Below are 22,422 nucleotides of genomic sequence, written 5' to 3' on the forward strand. Positions count from 1 at the left end.
TTCTGAACCTCAGCAGTCAGAGATCCCTGGACATAGGTCAACAGCTTGCAGCCGACCCTGGGGCGCCCTGGTTTATAAAGCAGTGAGGTGGACCCTAGCTGTGTAGACTCCCCTTAGCAGACTCTACTGAAAGCCCAGCACTGGCAAGAGGGGGCAACTCTACTTTTGCTCAGCTATTGATAGTGATTTTTTGTTGCCTCTTTTGCTGTTGGATGCAAACTTCTTCCTGGAGGAATCGCCAAGGGAGGAGGGTGGAGCCCCCACCCCACGTGCTGAACACACAGTGTGTGTGTGTGTTTCTGGGGATCTATCTGTGGATTTCTCTCTCACCACCAACCTTGATGCCACCCACACCATCCCGTGGAGTGACAGCTGAGGTAAAGGTGAAGCTCTAAAGTAGCCCATAGGGCCGAGATTGCATGTAGATTAATTGCAGTTGAAAAATCCCCCAGACTGACCATAGAGCACAGTGGATGGAATGCTGGACTCAGTGAGGCCTGCGGAGACCATTTTCCCTCCATCATTGGATTTAATCTGTTTTTCCACTTCAGTACTTGGGAGCGGAGGGTTGTTTTCTTCAGGGGCGGTGTTGTATAAAATATACGTATTTAACATTAGACCTACACTCGGTTCGGTGAGTGTCTCATACCACGCAAAACCCGGCAACCAAGGCTTGCAGGATCAGTGGAACTCCATCTTCTGATGGTGTCCACGCCAGGTGTGGAGGGCAGGTTTGCTGGCACTGTCTGTATTATAGTGTGCTGGGGCTGTGTAACAAATACACAGACTGGGCAGCTTCAACAACACACATTTACTGTCTCACAGTTCTGGAGGCTGGAAGTCCAAGATCAAGGTGTCAGGGGGGTTGGTCTCTTCTGAGGCCCCTCTCCTTGGCTTGCAGATGGCTTTTTCTCCCTGCACCCTCCCTCTGTGCATGTCTGTGTCCTCATCTCCTCTTCTTACAGGACACCAGTCATGTCGAGTTACAGTCCACCCCCGTGGCCTCACTTAAACTAACGCCTTGAAGGTCCTATCTCCAAATACAGTCACTCTCTGAGGTACTGGGGGATGGAACATCAACAAAGGAATTTTGGAGAACATGATTCAACACATCACAGTGCTGAAATCTCTCAATCTTTCTCCTCAGAGACACTTATGAAATCTCAATTGAAATCTCTCAATCGATCAATCTCTCCCTCTCTCTCCCTCTGTCTCCATCTTTCTCCCTTTCTCTCTTTTCTGCTTATCTATCATCTATCAATCAATCTATCCATCTGTCTATTTGTCTGTCTGTCTATCCATCCATCCATCTATATCTATCATCTATCTATCTATCTATCTATCATCTATCAATCATGCACCTACTTATATCTATCTATCCTGTATATCTGTCTATGTCGTATCTCTCTACCATGTATATCTACCTCTGTCTATCATTTATCTTCTGCCATGTCTATCTACCTATCATCTATTATCTAGATATCTAGCTATCTTTTCCTCTGTCTATGTCTCTTTCCCTACTCCCCTTTCTCTCTTTCTCCTCAGAGACCACTTATGAAAGGAGGCCACATGGATTTCCTTATTTAATTTTCACAACACCCTAAAGATAGACATTATTCTCCCCATTTTATATATGAGGAAATGGAGCACCTTGAGGTTAGGTAATTATTCCAAAATGACACAAATTAAGTAAGCAGGAAAGCTGGGATTTGAGCTTGCATAACCTGACTCCAGAATCTATGCTTGGAACAGTAAAGGAGGCTGCTTTTTGAAGTATTTTTGACAATTTTTGCATTTTTTTGATAAGAGTTTTGGCCACATTCCATGGACTTTGAAATGTAGAGTTCTTTTTTATGTTATCTTCTAATTAATTAATCTTAGTATAATTATTTAATCTTTAATTTGAGAGTTATTTATAAATGCTTTTAAATTTCTAGGTTAGATGTGGAGGGCTATATTTTGTTGCCAGAATGTGGTATGTTCAATTGCTATTTATCTATCTTTGCCTCTGAATTTGTCAAGATTTTCTTTAAGGCACAGTCTATGAACAATTTCTATAAATTATCCATTAACATTTAGAAAAGATTTTCTGTTTTGTACAGAAATAGTATGTCTACTAAACAAAGCTTATTGTGTAAGCAATTCAAATGCTCTAATCGTATTAACTCTTTATCTAATGAAATTATTAAATTTAGATATAAGTGTTTTAAAGCTCATTGTGATTTTACCAAAATAACCTTGAATTCCTAAATTATTTTTCTTTCAATAGAAGTAGGTCTCTGCAATGTGATTTGGTGTGTAAGTGTATATGACTGCCACAATTTCTTTAGAGATATTATCTTTTATCAATAAAATTCCTCAGCCTTATTTGATGTTTTTGACTATAAAATGTGCTTTGTGTGATGTTGGTATTTTTGCCATTTGTCATTGTTAGCATTTTCCTGATATATCCTTGCCCACTTCTTTATTTTCTACCTTTTTCTCTTTATCATTTTGTTTTAGGTATGTACCTTAAAATACCATTTAGCTAATTTTTGCTTTTTTATGTTGTTTATTCTTTTATTTTCAAATATAAGACATAGCAAGGGCAATAATTTGTTCCATGTACATTATTACTTATTGTGATTAACGTCATATCCAATCTTTCTCCTGCCTTCTTATTTTATGTTTTCTATTCACTATGATTTCTTATTGCTTCCTCTTTTCACCTTTCCTGCCTCTTCCTTCTTTGATCATTTTTTGTCCTTTTTTCTTCCCCTAGCAATATGAAATATTACATCTAAGTGTTATTCTAACAGTGGTCACCTTTATAACAAATGTATTTTATTCTACATGATTCTATCAAAGTTAAGTAAACATTATTCATAACCACCAGCCCTCATGTAAGCCAAGAATTGTAACATGCACTTACTTCCCTTTTCTTCTCCTTATCACTTGGGTTATCCTAAATGATCTAGAATTTAATTCATATTTCTCCCTCTAGTATCCATTCCTTAAAAAATAGCCTTGGGGGCTGGGCATGGTGGCTCACGCCTGTAGGCCTAGCTACTTGGGAGGCTGAGGCAGGAGGATTGCTTGGGGTCAGTAGTTAGAGACCAGGCTGGAAACATAGTGAGACCCCATCTCTACTAAAAAAATTGTTAAAAATGAGGCTGGCATTGTGGTGCATGCCAGTCATTACAGCCACTCCAGAGGCTGAGGTCACCTGAGCCCAGGGGTTCAGGGCTGCAGTGAGCTATGATCCTGCCACTGTATTCCAGCCTACACAACAGAGTGAGATCCTGTTTCAAAAAAAAAAGAAAAGTTTAAAACGCATTAATTTTCAATATTGCATGCAATGAGAATTTGGAAGTTGCAAGCAGTTTCAATATCTTAGGGTGGTGTATAAGTCAGGATTCTCCAGGGAAATGAAACCAATAGTATATAATGTGTGTGTGTATGTATGTGTGTATATTTATAATATATATATACATATTTATTATTAGTATATATAATATAAATACATATAATTGTATATTATATATATGTGATTTATTATAAAATATTGACTCAACCAATTATGGAGGCTGAGGAGTCCCATGATCTGCAGTCTGCATGCTGGGGACCCAGGAAAGCTGGTGGTTTAGCTGGAAGGGCTGAGACCTGGAGAGTCGATGGTGCAGATTCCAGTCTGGGTCTGAAAGCCTGAGAACTAGGAGCACCAGGGCAGGAAAACATCAATGTGCCAGCTCAAGCAGCCAGGCAGAGAGAAAATGCTTTCTTCCTCTGCTGTTTGTTCTACTGAGGCTCTCAATGCCTCAGATGAGACCCACCCATCTTGGGGAGGGGAGGGCCCTCTGCTTTATACAGTCCACCAGTTCAAGGCTAATCTCTTCTGGAAACACCCTCACAGACACACCCAGAATAATGTTTAACCACACATCCGGGCACCCTGTGGCCCAGACAAATTGACACCTAAAATTAACCATCACAGGTGGAGAAAAAAAATCATTTTTGGTCAAATACTACTCTTTATCCTGGGATAAAGAGCCCCTTTAAAAGTCAGGTAAGAAAAGTATCTGCTCATTAGGGGAATTTGACCGGCCCCAAATTTTATTTTCAACAGTGTTCTTTTTAGTGTTCAGTTCCTTGATTTAATGTTGTACTTCTTCGATGATCGTTCTCTCCTCTACAACTATTTTCTGTATACCTAGTTGGTTCTAGGAGTTTTTGTTGTGGTTTTATTCTTTTAGGTGTCACTGTGAATACCAGTCAGAATTTATAAAAGATATCTTCTGTTTCCTACAGTAAATCTTTTTAATTGAAAGTCCTTCAGACCAATTGCCTGGTTTAATTTCCTTTCTGTTTGCTCATTCTCCTCAAGAGTCCAATAAGTTACCTTTGCTTGATTATATTCATAAATTACAGTCTAGCCTGGTAGGACTCCATCAGCATCTTGTATAGGTTTGTATGTCATTCCTTCTCTAGCACATCCTGATCGAAAACACTCAAGCCCCCATCCCAGCGAGGATACTAAGTGGGAGAATGTTCCAGAATCAAGGAGGGCAACCAGCTACCTACTTGAGAGGCTTTGGGATGTTCCAATGGCTCCCTACACACCTACCAAAAGCTGATTCACTTAACACATTGCATCATTGTGTGTCAGTGAATAAGGTTGTTATATAGTTAAATTTAAACTGTGTTCCCTCTGGCTGATAGTTTTTCAAATTGGTAAAAATGACAGAAGGTTTCCTTCCTTTCAGTTTAGTTGTCATTCTTATGATTCCTTTTTATAGGTTTCTGAGAGGGTGTTTAAAAATTACAGGCATATTCTCATTATTCTTAGAAGTCTTCCAACATCTTTTAACAGAGTAGATGTGTCTTTATGTACATTAATGTACATGATTTAATGATTCAAGTTATTAACTTAAAACCTGAAGTGCACCTAGGTATAGAAAGGAAGTGTCACATACTATGAAGAATCCCTGGGCTGGGATTTAGATCTAGAGTCCAGTCCTGGCTTGACACAAGCTGTGTGACTCTCACAAATCATAGTCAGGCCTCTGAGCCCAAGCTAAGCCATCATATCCCCAGTTACCTGCACATATACACCCAGATGGCCCGAAGCAACTGAAGATCCACAGAAGTGAAAATAGCCTTAACGGATGACATTCCACCATTGTGATTGGCTTCTGCCCCACCCTAAGTGACCAATGTACTTTGTAATCTCCCCCACTCTTAAGAAGTTTCTTGGTAATTCTCCCCACTCTTGAGAATGTACTTTGTGAGATCCACCCCCTGCCCCCAAAACATTGCTCCTGACTCCACCGCCTATCCCCAAAACCTGTAAGAACCAATGATAATCCCACCACCCTTTGCTGACTCTCTTTTCGGACTCAGCCCACCTGCACCCAGGTGAAATAAACAGCCTTGTTGCTCACACAAAGCCTGTTTGGTGGTCTCTTCATACGGACACGTGAGACAGTATCACCTCCCTGGGCCTCAGTTTCAATGTTCTCATCTGTCAAATGAAGGCTGATTATTCAGACATGTTGCATCCTATTCAGTTCTTCATTTGCAGGGATTAATAGCCAGATATGGAACTATATACAAGAACATAAAAAATAAAATACTGGAAGAAGAAGGAGGAGAAGGAGGAGGAAGAGGAGGAGAGGAGGAGGAAGAAGAGGAGAGGAGGAGAAAGAGAAGAAGGACAAGAGAAGAGGAAAGCCTTTAGTATGTTCTAAGTCAATTGGGAGAAACCACATTAACTAACCGCCGGGCGCGGTGGCTCAAGCCTGTAATCCCAGCACTTTGGGAGGCCAAGGTGGGCGGATCGCGAGGTCAGGAGATCAAGACTATCCTGGCTAACACGGTGAATCCCCGTTTCTACTGAAAATACAAAAAAATTAGCCGGGCGCGGTGGCGGGCGCCTGTAGTCCCAGCTACTCAGGAGGCTGAGGCAGGAGAATGGCGTGAACCCGGGAGGCGGAGCTCGCAGTGGGCCGAGATCATGCCACTGCACTCCAGCCTGGGCCACAGAGCGAGACTCCGACTCAAAAAAAAAAAATTAAATATTGTTATATTACAACAAAGTACATTATTTAATAAGAGAAGAGAGGAGTGAGATCTTTACACTTCCTGGAGGCTTGAGCATGATTAGGAATTCTTTTATCGAGGTGACTCAATACACAGGTTGAAATGTTGGCCAGGAGTTTGTCACAAGGACCAGTGAGCAGTCAGGGGAACGATCAGCATGTGCTGAAGGGTGTACGCTCTGTGAGGAGGTTGGGAGGAGGCGTGGGTTTGGCCACAGATGGAGAGATCTTGGGGCCCTACTAAAGATAAGGCATCTGCGGGGCATTACAGGAGACGATCTGGAGCTCAGGCAAGGGGCGGTAGAGCAAATTTGGGGGACAGTGTAGCAGAGCTGATGGCATGAGCCTCAAAGGGGGTGAGTGATGGTTTGCAGAAGAGTGATAGAAGAGTGCTCACTCACCTGAGGATGTGTAGAGACCGGGAAAAAGGGCAGTGACTGCTTAGACGGGCTAGAACCCATGCCCCAGTGCAGAGCAAGGTGTTAGTAATGGAAGGAGCATTTGATGAGGGCTTAAACAATTTTTGTTTCCAGTAGACAAAGATCCAGAGGGTACTAAAGAGAAAGTGGGGAAAGTGGCAAATAATGGCATTCCAAGTGGGAGAAAGTTGGGACAGCTGCATGGAGATGGCAATGCCAGGGAGGACGGGTGGCCAGCAGAGTTGGAGGATGGTGGGGATGATAAACAAGGTGGGCTCAGATGGCCTCAGGTCTCCTTGTCAAAACAGAGTAGGCTACTGGAAACCTCGTGACGACAGGAAAAAACAAGTAATTCGCAAGAATTCCTGCCTAACAATTTTCATAAGTATGCTGTTTAAATGTAAACGCACAACAGCCAGTTTAATTAAGTTAATAGTTGGTCTGAGAAGAGCCATTCTGAATTAATAGTAGCCTGTTCCTCAGTGGCTTCGCTGGCCTGATTGGTCACATTGTGCCCTCCCCGGTCAAGTCCTGGGTACTGCTGCACACTCCTTACTGAGCTTCCCTTTGTTGCTGGTAATTGCATGTACAAAGGTCTTTCAGGCAATGATCCTTTAATTAGAAATTGCGCACTGAAAATAATGGTGCAGACTTCTATAACTAACAGGTGGCCTTCAGAAGCTAATTTTTATTGAAGTGTATTTTTAATTAGTGCAAACAGGAACATTTCCAAGCAGTGCCAACTCAGCAGTTCCATTGTGTGTCACAGGAGGTTGAACAGTCAAGGTGGAGTCATGCATAGACAGGGAGGGCACTAATGTGAAGGAACAGGCTTGTTTAGGGAGCACCCCTGGCAACACCGGAGGAAAGATGATGTCACTCTTGCAGAATAGGGTGGTTTATCCTTTCTTGACATGTGCAGCCAATCATTAATTGGGATATACTGTGGATACTGTTAAAAGAATAAACTATGCTATTAGATACACAGTCCTGTATGAATTATCTGACACTATTACAAGGTATATACATCTTACTTTTTCCGGCTCTGATTTCTACACTCTATACTTTGCTGCTATGCTTACTTAGCATTGGTTTCCTCAGATCCCATAGATGCACTGGGAACTAATGATGACCACCAGAAACAGCTGCCAAATCTGTGCAAATTCCCCCCTATTGGCAACTCCAAGGACACTTGTTCACCTTCCGCCTCTAGGCTTTCTTCTTCTTCTTCCTCTTCTTCCTCTTCTTCTTCTTCTTCTTCTTCTTCTTCTTCTTCTTCTTCTTCTTCTTCTTCTTCTTCTTCTTCTTCTTCTTCTTCTCCTTCTCCTTCTTCCTCTTCCTCTTCTTCTTCTTCTTTTTCTTCTTCCTCTTCTTCATCTTCCTCTTCTTCTTCTTCCTCTTCCTCTTCCTCTCCTTCTCCTTCTTCTTCTTCTTTTTTTTTTTTAAGTGAGAGGGTCTCATTCTGTCACCCAGACTGAAATGCAATGGCCCAATCTGTACAATCGTACAGAAGTTATATGATCTGCTCATTGCAACTTTGAACTCCTGGGCTCAAGCAATCCTCCTGCCTCAGCTTCCCAAATAGCTAGGACTACAGGTGCACATCACCAAGACTGGCTAATTAAAAAACAAACAAACAAAACTTTTGTAGAGATGGGATCTCACTATGTTGCCCAGGCTGGTCTCAGACACCCAGCCTTAAGTGATCCTCTTGCCTCAGCCTCCCAAAGCTCTGAGTCCCCTCTGGATTCTGAAAGGACTGTAGGCAAGAGGAGTCCTGGATTTATTACCAAGGCATCACCAGAGTAGGTATATTCCTGGCATCCCAGATTGGAATGATAGTAGCTTTTCAAAATGAGGTTAAAGAAGAGTGATTTTGTTTTCTTGTATAATCAGTAATATAGTTCAGCTAGTTAGTGGGCTAAACAGATTTTTTTCTCCAAAGGGGTTACCCTATTTATGTAGTGACTGCTTATTATGGTGCTGCAATTTTCAAGTACCTGACTTTTAATTGAAACTGCTTGGGCCTGGAGTTTTTTTGTTTTTATTGCTGGAAAAGTTTTAACTATGAATTCAATTTCTTGAATAGATGCAGTATTTTTCAGGTTATTTCTTCTTGAGTGAACTTTGGTAGTTTGTACCTTCAAGGAATTTGTTCATTTCATTTAAGTTGTCAAATATATGACATTTGTTTAAGTAGTATCTTATTATATATTTAATATCTGTAGGATCTGTAATATCTTCACTTTTATTCCTGATGTTGCTAATTTGTGTCTTCTCTCTTTATTAGTCTGGTTTATGAATTTTGTTGATCTTTTCAAAGAACCAGCTTGTGGTTTTATTGATTTTTCTCTATTGGTTTGCTGTTTTACATTTCATTGATGTCTGTCCTTACCTTTTATGTCCTTGCTTCTGCGTGCTTTGGGTGTTATGGTTTTTTAAGGTGAAAGCTTCGATTATTGATTTTAGACCATTCTATTTTTTTCCTCTATTACATGCATTTACAGTTACAAATTTACCTCTAAGCACTGCTTTAGCTGTTTCCCACAAATTTTGATATGTTGTATTTTCATTTTCATTCAGTTTAATTATTTTTTATTGCCCAAGACTTTCTTTTTGATCTATGATAATTTACAAGTGTGTCTTTTTAAATGACACTTTTAATTTTAAGATAATTGTAGATTCACATGCAGTTATAAGAAATAATCCTAGAAATCTCATGTGCCCTTCACACAGCTTCTCCAAGTGGTTTCCTCTTGCATAGCTATAGTACAATATCACAATCAGGAAATTGGTATCAATACAATCCACCAATCTCATTTAGATTTTGGTAGTTTTACATGCACCAATTTGTGTGAATGTATTTAGTTCTATGCAATTTTTTCCATGTATAAATTCACGTAATCACAACCATAGTCAAAATACAGAAATGTTGCATCACCGCAAAGATCCCTTGTGCTATCTTCTACCTTTTTATAATCACACCTACATAACTCTCCCTCCCTCTGATACCTGGCAACCACTAATCTATTCCTAATCTCTGTAATTTATCATTTTAAGAAGGTTACATAAATAGAATCATATAGTGTGTGACCTTTCGGGATTGGCTTTTTGTCACTCAGCATAATTCCCTTGAGATCCATCCAAGGGGTTGCATGTTATCTGCAATTCATTATTTTTAAATTCTATGCAGTATTCCACGGTATGGAGGTACATTAGGTTAGTTAACCATTCACCCATTGAAACATAATTGTGTTTTTTCCCTCATTTTTGGTTATTGCACATAAAGCACCTAAACATTTGTGCGTAGGTTTTGGTATGAACACAAATTTTCAGTTCTCTAAAATAAATGGTCAAGAGTGCAATTTGAGGGTTGTCTATGGTAAGCACACATTCTGTTTTATAAGACACTGCCAAGCTGCTTTTCAGAACAGCTGTATCATTTTACATTATTACCAGCAATGTATGAGTGGTCCAGTTTCTCTGCATTCTCACCAGAATTTAGTGTTATCACTATTTTTTCTAATTTTAGCTATTCTGATAAGTGTTGTGATATTTCATGATAGTTTTTTTATTTTTTTGAAGGTTAATAATGTTGAACATCTTCTCATGTGATTACTTGTCATTTATGCATCCTCTTTGGTTAAATGTCCATTCATGACATTTGTCCATTTTCTAATTTTCTTGTTGAATTGTTTTTGCTTTTGAGTTTTGATGGTTATTTACATATAGATACTTATATAAATAACAGTTCTTTGTTGGACATATGGTTTGCAAGTACCTTCTCCCAGCATGTGGCTTGTCTTTTTATCTTTCAAGAAGGTCTCTTGCACAGTGAAAGTTTTAAATTTTGATGATGCCTAGAGTATTAATTTTTACTTTCATGCATTGTGCTTTTTATTCCAAATCCAAGAACTTTATGTAGCCTTAGCTTCTGAAGATTTTCTTCTATTTTTTCCAAAAGTTTTGTACTTTTACATTTTATATTTAAGTCTGTGATCCATTCTCTGTTAACTTTTCATAAGCTGAGGGGTTTAGAGCAAGATTCTCTCTTTGTCCCCTTTTTATTGCCTGTGGGTGTCTGATTGCCCTAGTACCACTTGTGGAAAGCCTATCCTTCCTTCACTGAGTTGCACTTTTGTAAAAAATCAGTTGGTCACATTTGTGTGGGTCTATTTCCAGATCTCTATTCTGTTGCATTAATCTATGGGTCTGTCCCTGCACCAATACTACAATACCTCAAGTACTGTAACTACAAATAACAACAATAACAATACTAATAATAAGCCTTAATATTGGGTAAAATGACCTTTTCCACTTTCTTCTTTTTTAAACTTATTTATTTTTTCAGGGGCTTGAACATTTCTATATAAAATCAAGACTAACTTGCTACATCTACAAAAGCCCTTGCTGAGATCTGAATAGAAATTGCATTAAACCTATAGATCAGTTGGGGGGAATTGTCATCTTTACTATATTGTCTTTCAATCCATGAACATGGTATGTCTTCTGTTTATTTAGGTTTTCTTTGATTTCTTTTATTAGCAACTCATAACAATCATGTACACATTTTGTTAGATTTGTACCTAATTATTTTTAAGAGTAATTATAAACAATATGTGTTTTTAATTTCAGTTTCCACCTGTTCATTGTTAGTATACAGAAACATTATTTTTCTGTGTTGATCTTGTATCCTGTGACCTTGAAAAACTCAGTTATTAGTTTTAGGATAGTTTGAAAATCCCTTGGAATTTTCAACACAAATCATTATGTTATCTTCAAATAGGAAAAGTCAGAAGTGTGTTTTTAAATTTCCAAATATTTGAGGATTTCCCAAACATCTGTTATTGATTTCTGGTTTAATTCCCTTATGGCCAGAAAGGAGATTTTTAATGCTTTCTGCATACATTAAAGCAGACTTCAATAAATTTAAAATCATTAAATTTTACCTTACATCTCAGGATATGATTTATTTTGAGATCCAGGTACCTTTGTAATAAATGTGTATTCTGCTGCTTTGGGATAAAGTGTTCTATAAATGTTAATTAAATAAAGTTGGCTGATAGTGTTGTTCAGATCTTCTATATCCTTGCTGATTTCTGTCTGTTTGTTGTATCAATTCCTCAGAGACAAGTTTTGGAGCATACAAATGTATTTGTGAATTTGTTAATTTCTTATTTTAGTTCTATTTGGTTTTGCTTCATGTATTTTGAAGTCCCACTTTTTATGTGCACATGCATCAAAGATTGTCTTTTCTTCTTGGTGATTGATCTTATTATCATTATGTTATGTCACTCTTTATCTCTGGAAATTTTCCTTCTCCTGAAGCCTAATTTGTTTGCTATTAATGTAGACACTCCACTGTCTTTTGATTAGTGTTTCCATGTTATATCTTTTTCCATCCTTTTAACCTATCTGTATCATTATATTTAATGTGCGTTTCTCAAACACAGCGTGTAGCTGGGTCACAGTTATTCATTGAATCTTTTAACGTCTATCTTTTAATCAATGTATTTGGATGATTTATATTTAATACAATTATTGATATGTTTGAATTTAAATATATTGTTTTCTTATTTGTTTTTTAGTTTGTCTTCATGTTTTTTTTGGTCGTTGTTCTGTTCCCTTTATCCTGACTACTTTCAGGTTATTTGAACATTTTTCAGTATTTCATTTTAATTATTTCTTGGATTTTGCCTATATCTCTGTATTTTTTATTATTTTTTAATTTTTTGTAGAGATGGGGTCTCACTATGTTTCCTAGGCTGGTCTCGAATTCCTGGCCTTAAGTGATCCTCCCACTTTGCCCTCTCAAAATTTAATGATTACAGGCCGGGCATGTGGCTCATGCCTGTAATCCTAGCACTTTGGGAGGCCAAGGCAGGTGGATCACGAGGTCAGGAGACCGAGACCATCCTGGCTAACATGGTGAAACCCCATCTCTACTAAAAATACAAAAAAAATGAGCCAGGCATGGTGGCAGGCGCCTGTAGTCCCAGCTACTCGGGAGGCTGAGGCAGGAGAATGGCGTGAATCCGGGAGGCGGAGTTTGCAATGAGCCAAGATCACGCCACTGCACTCCAGCCTGGGTGACAGTGCAAGACTGTCTCAAAAAAAAAAAAAAAAAAATTAAGGATTACAGGTATTAGCCATTGCATCTAGTCCATTCTATTTCTTAATGGTTACTCTGGTATTAAAATATATGTGCTACATTTTTACAGTAAAGTAAAATATTTTATTACTTTAAGTATCACAAGACCTTAATGCGTTCATCATTCTTTTACTATTTTCTCTGTTTTTCAGATTATGTAATTTCTATTAATCTATCTTCAAGCTCACTCACTCTTTCTTTTGTCATCTTCCTTCTGCTTTTAAGCCCACCCAGGAAATTTTAATTGCAGATATTATATTTTTTTAGTTTGAAAATTTCCATTTGGTTCTTTTTAATACTTTATGTTTCTCAGCACGGAATTTCTATCTTTCCACTTGTTTCAATCATGTTCATTTTTACCTCATAAAGTATAGTGATGATAGGTGCTTTAAAGATTTGTCTGATAATCTCAACATCTGGATCATCTCAGGTTTGCAGCTATTAATTTTTTCTCCTAAAGAATTGGACATATTTTTCTGAATCTTCATTGTTGTTTAATTTTGGATTGTATCCTAAATTTTTCTAAATATTATCTTGTGAGACACTGGCTTCTGTTAAAATTCTCTAGATAGACTTGAGAACAAATAGAAAACCTTCACAAATCTGTCACAAAAAAAGAGATTGAATTAGTAACCAAAAACCTCCTAAAAAAGAAAAGCCCAGGACCAGAAAAGCCCAGGACCAGAAAAATGAGTTCTAGCAAACATTCTCTGAAAAAGAATTAACACCAGTGATTCTCAAACTCTTCCAAAAATAGAAGAGGAAGGAATACTTCCTAACTCTTTCTAGGAGGCCAGCATTACCCCAGTATCAAAGTCAAGTAATTGTGTCACAAGAAGAGAAAACTGTAGACCAATACCCCTTATGAAAGAACATGCCTTCTTTGCTCATCTGTGAGGTTTTTTTTGCCTATCATGAAACCTGGTTGACAGTAGATACTCAACAAATGTCAAGAAGTGGATGCAAAGAAAGGTGGACGGATGGATAATTGAGTGGATGAGTAGGTGGGTGGATGGATGGATGGATGGGTGGATGGATGGATAGATGAATAGATTATTTAGCCCTAAGAATTATCTAGGAGATAAACAAGTGAGTATCAATACTTCATTCTGAATAGTGAACAGCTCACTGAATGGTCCTTCCTTTCAACCATCCTCATGAGACCTTTTAAACTTAGGTAGTGGCCCAGAGTCTCAAAAAACATGAGCTCAAATGAATTTTAATGACCTTGGCAATGGAGCTGAATTTCTAATTTTCACTGATGGCCAAAGCCAAAAAAATCTTGGGCCCAACTTGGATTGGCACCATGTCCAGGGGTAACCAGAGACAACTTTTATTCATGTTTCAAAGAATGATGCTGGGTCCCTATCTGACACCGTATACAAAAATCAACTCAAAATGGACCAAAGACCTAAATGTAAGTACTAAAACTGTAAAACTTTCAGGAGAAAAATGGGGGTACATCTTCATGACCTGGACTAAGTAATAGTTTCTTAGATATAACATCAAAGGCACAAGTAACAAAAGAAAAAGTAGATAAATTGACTTTACCCAATTTAAAAACTTTTGTGTTTCAAAGGACACCATTGAGAGAGTGAAAAGACAAACCGACAAATAAGAGAAAATATTTGCAAAGTATGTATCTGATAAGGGTTTATTATCCGGAATGTGTAAAGAGCTGAACCTAGAGGACATTATTCTAAGTGAAAAAGCTAGGCATAGGAACAAAAATACTGTGTGATTTCACCTGTACATGGAATCTAAAGGAAACGTTTTTAAGAAACCCAGAAAATTCACCTACATTTAAACAGAAAATAGAACTGTGGCTACCCTGTGTGTGTGTGTGTGTGTGTGTGTGTGTGTGTGTGTGTGTAGGAAATGGAGAGACATAGATCAAGGGTGCAAAGTTATAGTTGTGTAGAATGACTAAATCTAGAGATGTGTGTACAGCATGGTGATCATAGTTAATAATATTGTATTGTACACTGGACATTTGCTAAAAGACAAAATTTTAGGTACTTTACCACAGAAAAAGGTAACTATGTGAAGTGATGGATATGTTAATTTGCTTGACTTTAGTAATCATTTTACTGTGTATTATGCATATCAAAATATCATGTTGCATACCTTACATACATATAATAAAAATAAATCAATTAACAAATAAACCATAAACCAAACAACCCAATTAGAAAGTAAGCAAATAACTTGAATAGACATTTCTTTAAAAAGATATACAAATGGCCAATTAGCACAAGAAAGACACTTGACGTTGTTAGCTATTAGGAAACATCAAAACCACAATGAAATACAACTTCACATTCATTAAAAACGGACAGACAATAACAAGTGTCAAAGACACAGAGAAACTGGAACCCTCACATATTGTGGGTGGGAATGTAAAACAGCACAGCTGCTTTGGAAAACAGTTTGGCAGTTCTTCAAAATGTTAAATATGGAGTTACCATATGACCCAGCAATTCTACTCCTAGGTATATACCTCAAAGAATGGGAAACAGGTGTTTAAATAAAAACGTAGACACTAATTTTCTTAACAGCACCATTCACAACAGCCAAAACATGGAAACAACCTAAATGTCTTTCATCAGTTGAATGGGTACACAATATATGCGATATTCATTTAATAAAAATAAAACCATAAAAAGCAATGAGGTACAAATATATGTTTATCCATGTTTTATTTATCCATATGACATGGATAAATTGCAAAAACACTGCTAAGTGAAAGAATTCAGACACAAAAGATCATATATTGTACAATCCATTTATATGAAATATCTGGAATGGGTAAACCTATATATAGAGAAAACAGATTGATGACTTCTGGGGATGGGGAGGAGTGGGGAATAGGAGTGACTGCTTAGCGGGTACAGGTTTTCCTTTCGTGGTAATGAAAATGTTTTGAAACTCAATTGACGTGATGTTGGCACACATTGTGAATGTACCTAATGCCACTGAATAGCACACTTTAAAATTGCTTCTTTTATGTTATGTTAATTTTACCTCAAATAATTCCCAAGCAACTCCTATTCCCAGTGTAATCATGAGACAAATATCAGACAAATTTCAATTGCTAGGGACATTCTGCAAACATTCTACAAAATACCCAAACCAGTACTCCTCAAAACCGCGGTCATACCAAACAAGAAAGCATGAAATAAGCTGTCACAGTTGAGACTAAATACAACGTGCTGTGGATGGGATCCTGGAACAAAGAAAGGTAAAAACCAAGGAAATCCAAATAAACTATGAATTTTAGTTAAAAATAGTGTGTCCGTATTGATTCATTGATTATAACGAATGTACCAGACTAGTGTAAGATGTTAATAATAAGGGAAATTGGGTGTGGGGTATAGGAGAATACTATGTTGTAAAAAATAAAGTCTATTAAAAAAATTCTCTCTTCAGCATCGTTCTTTTTGTTTTGATGGACAAACTGGTTAGCCTCAGACTCCAATTTCTGACTAGCCTCTTGTGGCTGGCAGATCAATGTCCATTCCGATTCCAAAGCCCTTTGCTGTGCTTCGTAAGCACCACGTGTGTGTGCCACTCATGGTCTCCTCTGGACGTTCTCAGGCTAGGGTTTAGATTGTAGCTCAGTTTTCAAAGCTCTTGCTAAATGCTTCTTCATGGTCTTCAAGGTCTGCTCCATGCATGCGCATCTCAAGGGTGAGCCTGGGACTTAGGTAGGTCCATTCTCAGAGTTGGGGGATGCCTGTCTCCAGCTCTCACCCAGTGAGGTGACGCCCCCTCAGCACATTCCATTTCTCAGGGGCCCCCTTTTTGTGGTTCCTGTGGACAGAGAGACAAATTTTCTCCTCAGGTTTTATATGCCCATGCTGTGGAGGCAGAAACAGTATTGCTTTGCAACTGAGGCTGACCTTGGGGCAGAGGTAGACAAGAAAAATGAGAAAAAAATAAAAAAGAAAGACAAGAAGGGGAATCCTCCTGCACTCTCAGGCTCCTAGGGATCCCTTTTCCTGGCTTTCTGGCTGGAGGGAGTGGGTTGCAGGCAGAGTTTTTGCTGTCCATGCCCTCTGTGTAGTTCTAACCCTCTGGCTCATCCTTGGGTCAAAGCCAGGAGATAAAAAAGGAAAAAAAAAAAAGAAAAAGAAAAAGAAAAAGAAAAAGAAAAAAACACTATATTGGTCATTCCTCAAGTTTCAACTTCTTTTCTCAAATTTCTCTTGCTTACTCTTTGGAGTTAACAGGAGCTCTTAGCTGTAATCAGGGGAAGATGTACGCTATCAGGGGCTTCCTCTATTTGAGCTAGCATGGAATTCAAGTTATGTTCTTGAATCAGCCTTCAGCCCATCCACAATTTGCAGTATGCAGTGGTTCCCCTAGTTCCTTCCTCTCCAGTTTAACCTTCTAACATGATCAACCTGTCCATTAACTTCTAGGCACTCGACTTATCTGCTCAGTTTCCTGGACTTGGCTGTCTTCTTCCTCCTGGTTTGGCGGTTCTTCAGAAGCATTCCCCAGATAACAAACCTCTCTTGGCTTGTTCCTAGGACTACTCACACCTGTGACAGGGCACAGTGATGTCTGCAAATGGGCTCTGCCCTGCTCCGTGGATGCCACTGTCTCCTGGTCCTGGCCAGGTCCAGCTCTACAGCACTTTCCTGAACCTTTGTTGTATCCCAGCTGTGCCCAGCTTGAGTCATACTGAGAGGTCATCAAAGACAAGACAAGACAGGGTCAGAGCTGGGGGAACTAACTCAGATATAGAGTGGCCATGGGGTAGGAGACCAACAGGCAAATCTTGATTTTGGTGGCAGTGTAGGGGACAGGGGTTCCTGTGGGAAGGCTCTCCCCTGGCAGCTTCCTATTGTCCTATCTTGTATAGGGAAGAGGGAGAAGACTGACAGGGGAACTAGAATCAGCCTCCATGTAATTTCATTTTAATAATCTCCATGGTGACAAAAGTCCTTCTTCTGAAGGAATATTTGATTTGTTGAAATAGTCAAAAGTCATCTAGAATGAAGCCATTTCTGGTCAATGAGATGAGTTATCAAGTTGGCGATGCTAACATTGATCCCAAATGGGATGAGAGTGCAAAGGAAAATGAACTTGTGTAGCCTATAAATTACTTTAGAAGACAGTTCAAAAACAAGGTTCAAATATATCTTGGGAAATGCTGGTATTGCCTTCCAAGGTAACTCCTGTGGATGAGACAGCACTCACGCTGTCCTTGCCTGTATTAGCTTCCAAGGTGATAAACCAGTCCATTAACTTCTAGGCACTTGATTTGCTTGTTTAGTTTCCTGGACTTTGCTAGAATGTCTCCTTCTGTCAAGGCATCTTTTCAAACTGATTACCCAGTATAGAAGGAGTGTCAGTTAGGAAATGGGTTTGACTGCAAGTAACAAATCTCTGAAAAACAGTGTCTTAAACCAATTAAAGATTTATTTTTCTTCACTTAACTGACCATCCCTAGCTGTAAGTGTTATTGAAAATGTTTTTCAGCTGTGTCTCACTGCCTCTCATCCCAAACAAATTGAAGGGCTTTTTTCTTTGTGTTTTTTTTTTTGTTGTTGTTTTTTGTTTTGTTTTGTTTTTGTTTTTTTTTTAAGAAAGAAGGGGAGAATGGACATTGGGTTGATGGACTACTAGAATCTCTATCAAGCAAATCTCTGGTAAATAAAAATTGAATCTAAGTCTCAGATCTGCTGGAATCACAGGGGAAAGATTGGTTAATGCTTTAAGGTCAAGGTTGTCAACAGAAAATGATGAGATGCTGGAATGTTTCTGCTGTTTTACTAATGGCTCTTTCTTGGCCCCTGGTTACCATTGGACATGGTGCCAATCCAAGTTGGGCCCAAGATTTTTTTGGCTTTGGCCATCAGTGAAAATTAGAAATTCAGCTCCATTGCCAAGGTCATTAAAATTCATTTGAGTTCATGTTTTTGAGACTCTGGGCCTACCTAAGTTTAAAAGGTCCTCATGAGGATGGTTGAAAGGAAGGACCATTCAGTGAGCTGTTGATTATTCAGAATGAAGTATTGATACTCATTTGTTTATCTCCCAGATAATTCTTAGGGCTAATCTATTCATCTATCCATCCATCCACCCATCCATCCATCCACCCACCCACCCACCTACTCATCCACTAATTTATCCATCCATCCCCCCTTCTTTGCATCCATTTCTTGCCATTTGTTGAGTACCTACTTTCAACCAGGATTCATGCTAGGCAAAAACAAACAAACAAACAAACAAACAAAAAACTCACAGATGAGCAAAAAAGGCATGTTCTTTATTTCTGAGGACCTCAAATACATGACACCAGAAAATAACTTTGCCTGGAACACAGGGGTCGAATATACTAGTGTATTTATGTGCAGGTGCCTTAACCTCTCTCTTCCATCACTCAGGGTGAATGATTTAGGCCACATCTGCCCCTCCACTCTCTTTTGTTTGTTTATTCAGAAAGACAGAAAAAGAGAAAGACACAGGGAGAGAAACAGCCTTTCTCTATCATATAAAACCTTTAAATCTTAAAATCCAGGCCGAGGCTGATGCTTTCTCACTGCACTGGAAATGACCAGAGCGAAAGAAAACATTCGGTCTTAAAATCCCTTCCTGTTTTGCACCAAGTTTGGACTTTATTTTTGCTTCACATTTTCCTTTGTTCTTTCCCCAGTTTCTCTGTTGTTTTCTCAGGAAGGAGAACTCTCCTTCCCTTTTCAGCCCAGCACAGTAGAATTTGTACCCAAACATCCTCACTGGGTTGACAAAGCATTCCCCTGGGACATAACGCAGCTTGTTTAATGCCTGTGAGAGGTGAGAGGGCCTGTGTGAGATGAACAGAGCTCCCTAGAGGCCTGGATGAAGCCTGCAGTAACTTCTGTTGATGTATGGATGCTTTTTTTTTTTTTTTTTTGAGAGGAACTTGCATTTCTGTTTTTTTTTCTTTCTTCCTTTTATGAGTTTAAAAGATAACTCTAGACCCACATGGGCTAAATTCTGTAGTAATCTGAGAGTAAAATGATAACAAATGGCATTACCTACCTTCTGTCTGGAAAAAAATTTCTGGTTTATTATTGATAGGTTTTTCTCCCCTATATTTTCCATAACTCTAATCATTGGCACTGATTGGGCTGAAGAAATGAGTCTTCTGGGGCTCAGGAAGACCCAGGACAGTCTATAAGGTGGAAGCCAACTCTGCCTACAAGACATTAGCAGGAGGAGCAGAGAAATGGTTTGCGGGGAATTATAATGAAAGCTGGTGTTTTAAGCACTTTAGTGTGGGCCAGACACCATTTTAAAAGCTTTGTAAATGTGAGCTGTTTACTCCTCACAACAACGCTGTCAGGTAATTTTTATTATTTTTCAGGTTTTATAGGCAAGAAAACTGAGGTACAGAGAGCCGGGAAATATGCCCACGTCACACTGCTACGAGGGCACTGTGGCTCCAGAAGCTTCATCCTGAATCACAATATCATAATGAAGACATTAGAGGGAAAGAGAGAGAGGTTAGGTACTCATATGCCTGAAACTCTGAAATCTTCCAGCTATTTCATTTGGTACATTCATTCATCATATATTTATTGAGCAGCTACAAAGTTCCAGGTACTGTGCAATTTAAAACATAATGTATTTATAGGGAATCTGAGGCCTGGGAAGGTCAACACATCAGGAGCTGCCTGCAATTGAAAAGAGAGTTTGTCACTCACAGTTCCAAGAGGAGGGGCCACGCCATGCAATGGGGGTGGAGGGTAGAGGCACAGTGAGGCACCGGGTCCATCCGGAGGCAGGAGTAGAGGGTAAGCCCAGGGCAGGAGCCTGCACAGCGGCTTCTGCAGGAAGACGAGGCAAGGCAGGGTGCACAGGCTCAGTACTGTTTTGGTCTGAATAATTTCAGTAGCTCTGGGGCAGAAGAGCTCCCCCAAGTTGTCTGGAACCTGGCCCCAGGGTGACTGGTGCACTGGTGCAGGTGGATAGTGGCCCATATGTGAGATCCCAATAATGGAGGTGGTTGAGGTGTGGGCTCTCTGGATTGGTTGGTTTGTATTTGAAAACTGCACTCTTGGGTGAGCTGTTTGCTATCTCTAGAACTGGCTAATCCTGAAGAGGCAGTCCCTCCAGGGTCAGCACGGCTGCAGATGACAAAGCCTGAAATACAGAAAATGAAAAGTATGCTTAATACCCTATGTGCTAAACGGTGAGAAGACAGCAGGGAGCAACGCGAGTAACAGGAAAGTGAGTGTGTGTGTGTGTGTGTGTGTGTGTGTGTGTGTGTAGACCAAGCAAATCACTGGAAAACATATGCCATTGTAAATCTAATTATTAGCCTACTTCATTATTAATTTATCATATGGTGGCATTTAAACAAATGGCTTATCTGTAGTAATCTTGTAACAATCCAGTAGGTGTGGAATGTGGGTCTAATACTGCACTCAGAAACCCTGGATACCAAAGAAACCACCCGGAGTTTCATTTACCTGAGGACCTGCTGGGCTAGGCCTCCTGGGAGCATGGTGAGGAGACTTTGGGCTGTGAGCAGAGATCCAGGACACTGGACTCTTAAAGATGGAGGTGAAAGTTGCACCTCACCTATGTGGGGAATGTCTGGACAATTACAGCCCTCATCCTGAGGAGGGAAAGAGCCTCACCGTTGGTAGTCTTGGTTTTGATCGGTGTATCATAGCAGCAGGACCCCCAGAAGTAGGGCTCTGACATCAAGTGACAGGCAGGGGGATAGTATGGTGGACCATCTGGGTGAAGACAGGGCTTCCATGAGCTGAGGGATCAGGAAACTTCCTGAGATGAGCACGGGAAAGGAGGAGAGAGGCAAGGTGTTCAAGAAGAAAAAGTGAAGGAAAAATAATGGTCCAGGTTTGGAGAATTTCCCCCAATTTCCTCAGAAAAAGGGCTGCCATCTGGAGAAGAATGTGCCCTTTTGGAAAATAGAAAAGACAGTTGTGACCCTGGCAGGGAGAGAGCTCGCCACAGCCTTGTCAAAGTGTCAGTTATGGTGGGTGATGTGGTTTGGCTCTGTGTCTCCACCCAAACCTCATGTTGAATTATAGTCCCCAGTGTTGGAGGAGCCTGGTGGGAGGTGATTGGATCATGGGGGTAGTTGTTTTTGTTTTGTTTTGTTTGTTTGTTTGTTTTGAGATGGAGTCTCGCTCTGTCGCCCAGGCTGGAGTGCAGTGGCGGGATCTCGGCTCTCTGCAAACTCCACCTCCTGGGTTCACGCCATTCTCCTGCCTCAGCCTCCCGAGTAACTGGGACTACAGGCGCCCGCCACCACGCCCGGCTAATTTTTTTTTTTTTTTTGTATTTTTGGTAGAGATGGGGTTCACCCTGTTATCCAGGATGGTCTCGATCTCCTGACCTTGTGATCCGCCCGCCTCGGCCTCCCAAAGTGCTGGGATTACAGGCATGAGCCACCGCGCCCGGCCTCATGGGGGTAGTTTTTAATGGTCTAGCATCATCCCCCTAGAGCTGTCTCGTGATAGAGTTCTCATGAGATCTGGTTGTTTGAAAGTATGTAGCACCTCCCCCTTCACTCTCTCTCTCCTCCTCCGCCATATGAAGATGTGCCTGGTTCCCCTTCACCTTCTGCTATGATTGTAAGTTTCCTGAAGCCTTGCCCGCCATGCTTCCGGTGCACTCTGCGGAACTGTGAGTGAATTAAACCTCTTTTCTTCATAAATTACCCCGTCTCAGGTAGTTCCTTATAGCAATGCCAGAACGGACTAATACAGCGAAGCATGGGAAACACCTCCAGGTGTGCATAAAAGCT

General features: G+C 39.9%; 1 annotated feature.

Annotated features, from left to right (window-relative positions):
• Positions 20,486-20,985: an enhancer, noted in NCBI's record as "H3K4me1 hESC enhancer chr6:3563205-3563704 (GRCh37/hg19 assembly coordinates)". NCBI's record gives its function as "activates a minimal SCP1, AML or CMV promoter by ChIP-STARR-seq in naive H9 embryonic stem cells {active_cell/tissue: H9 hESC(naive)}" and the evidence as "EXISTENCE:reporter gene assay evidence [ECO:0000049][PMID:30033119]".

This window comes from Homo sapiens, chromosome 6 (genome assembly GCF_000001405.40).
Source record: "Homo sapiens chromosome 6, GRCh38.p14 Primary Assembly".
Classification (NCBI taxonomy): domain Eukaryota; kingdom Metazoa; phylum Chordata; class Mammalia; order Primates; family Hominidae; genus Homo; species Homo sapiens.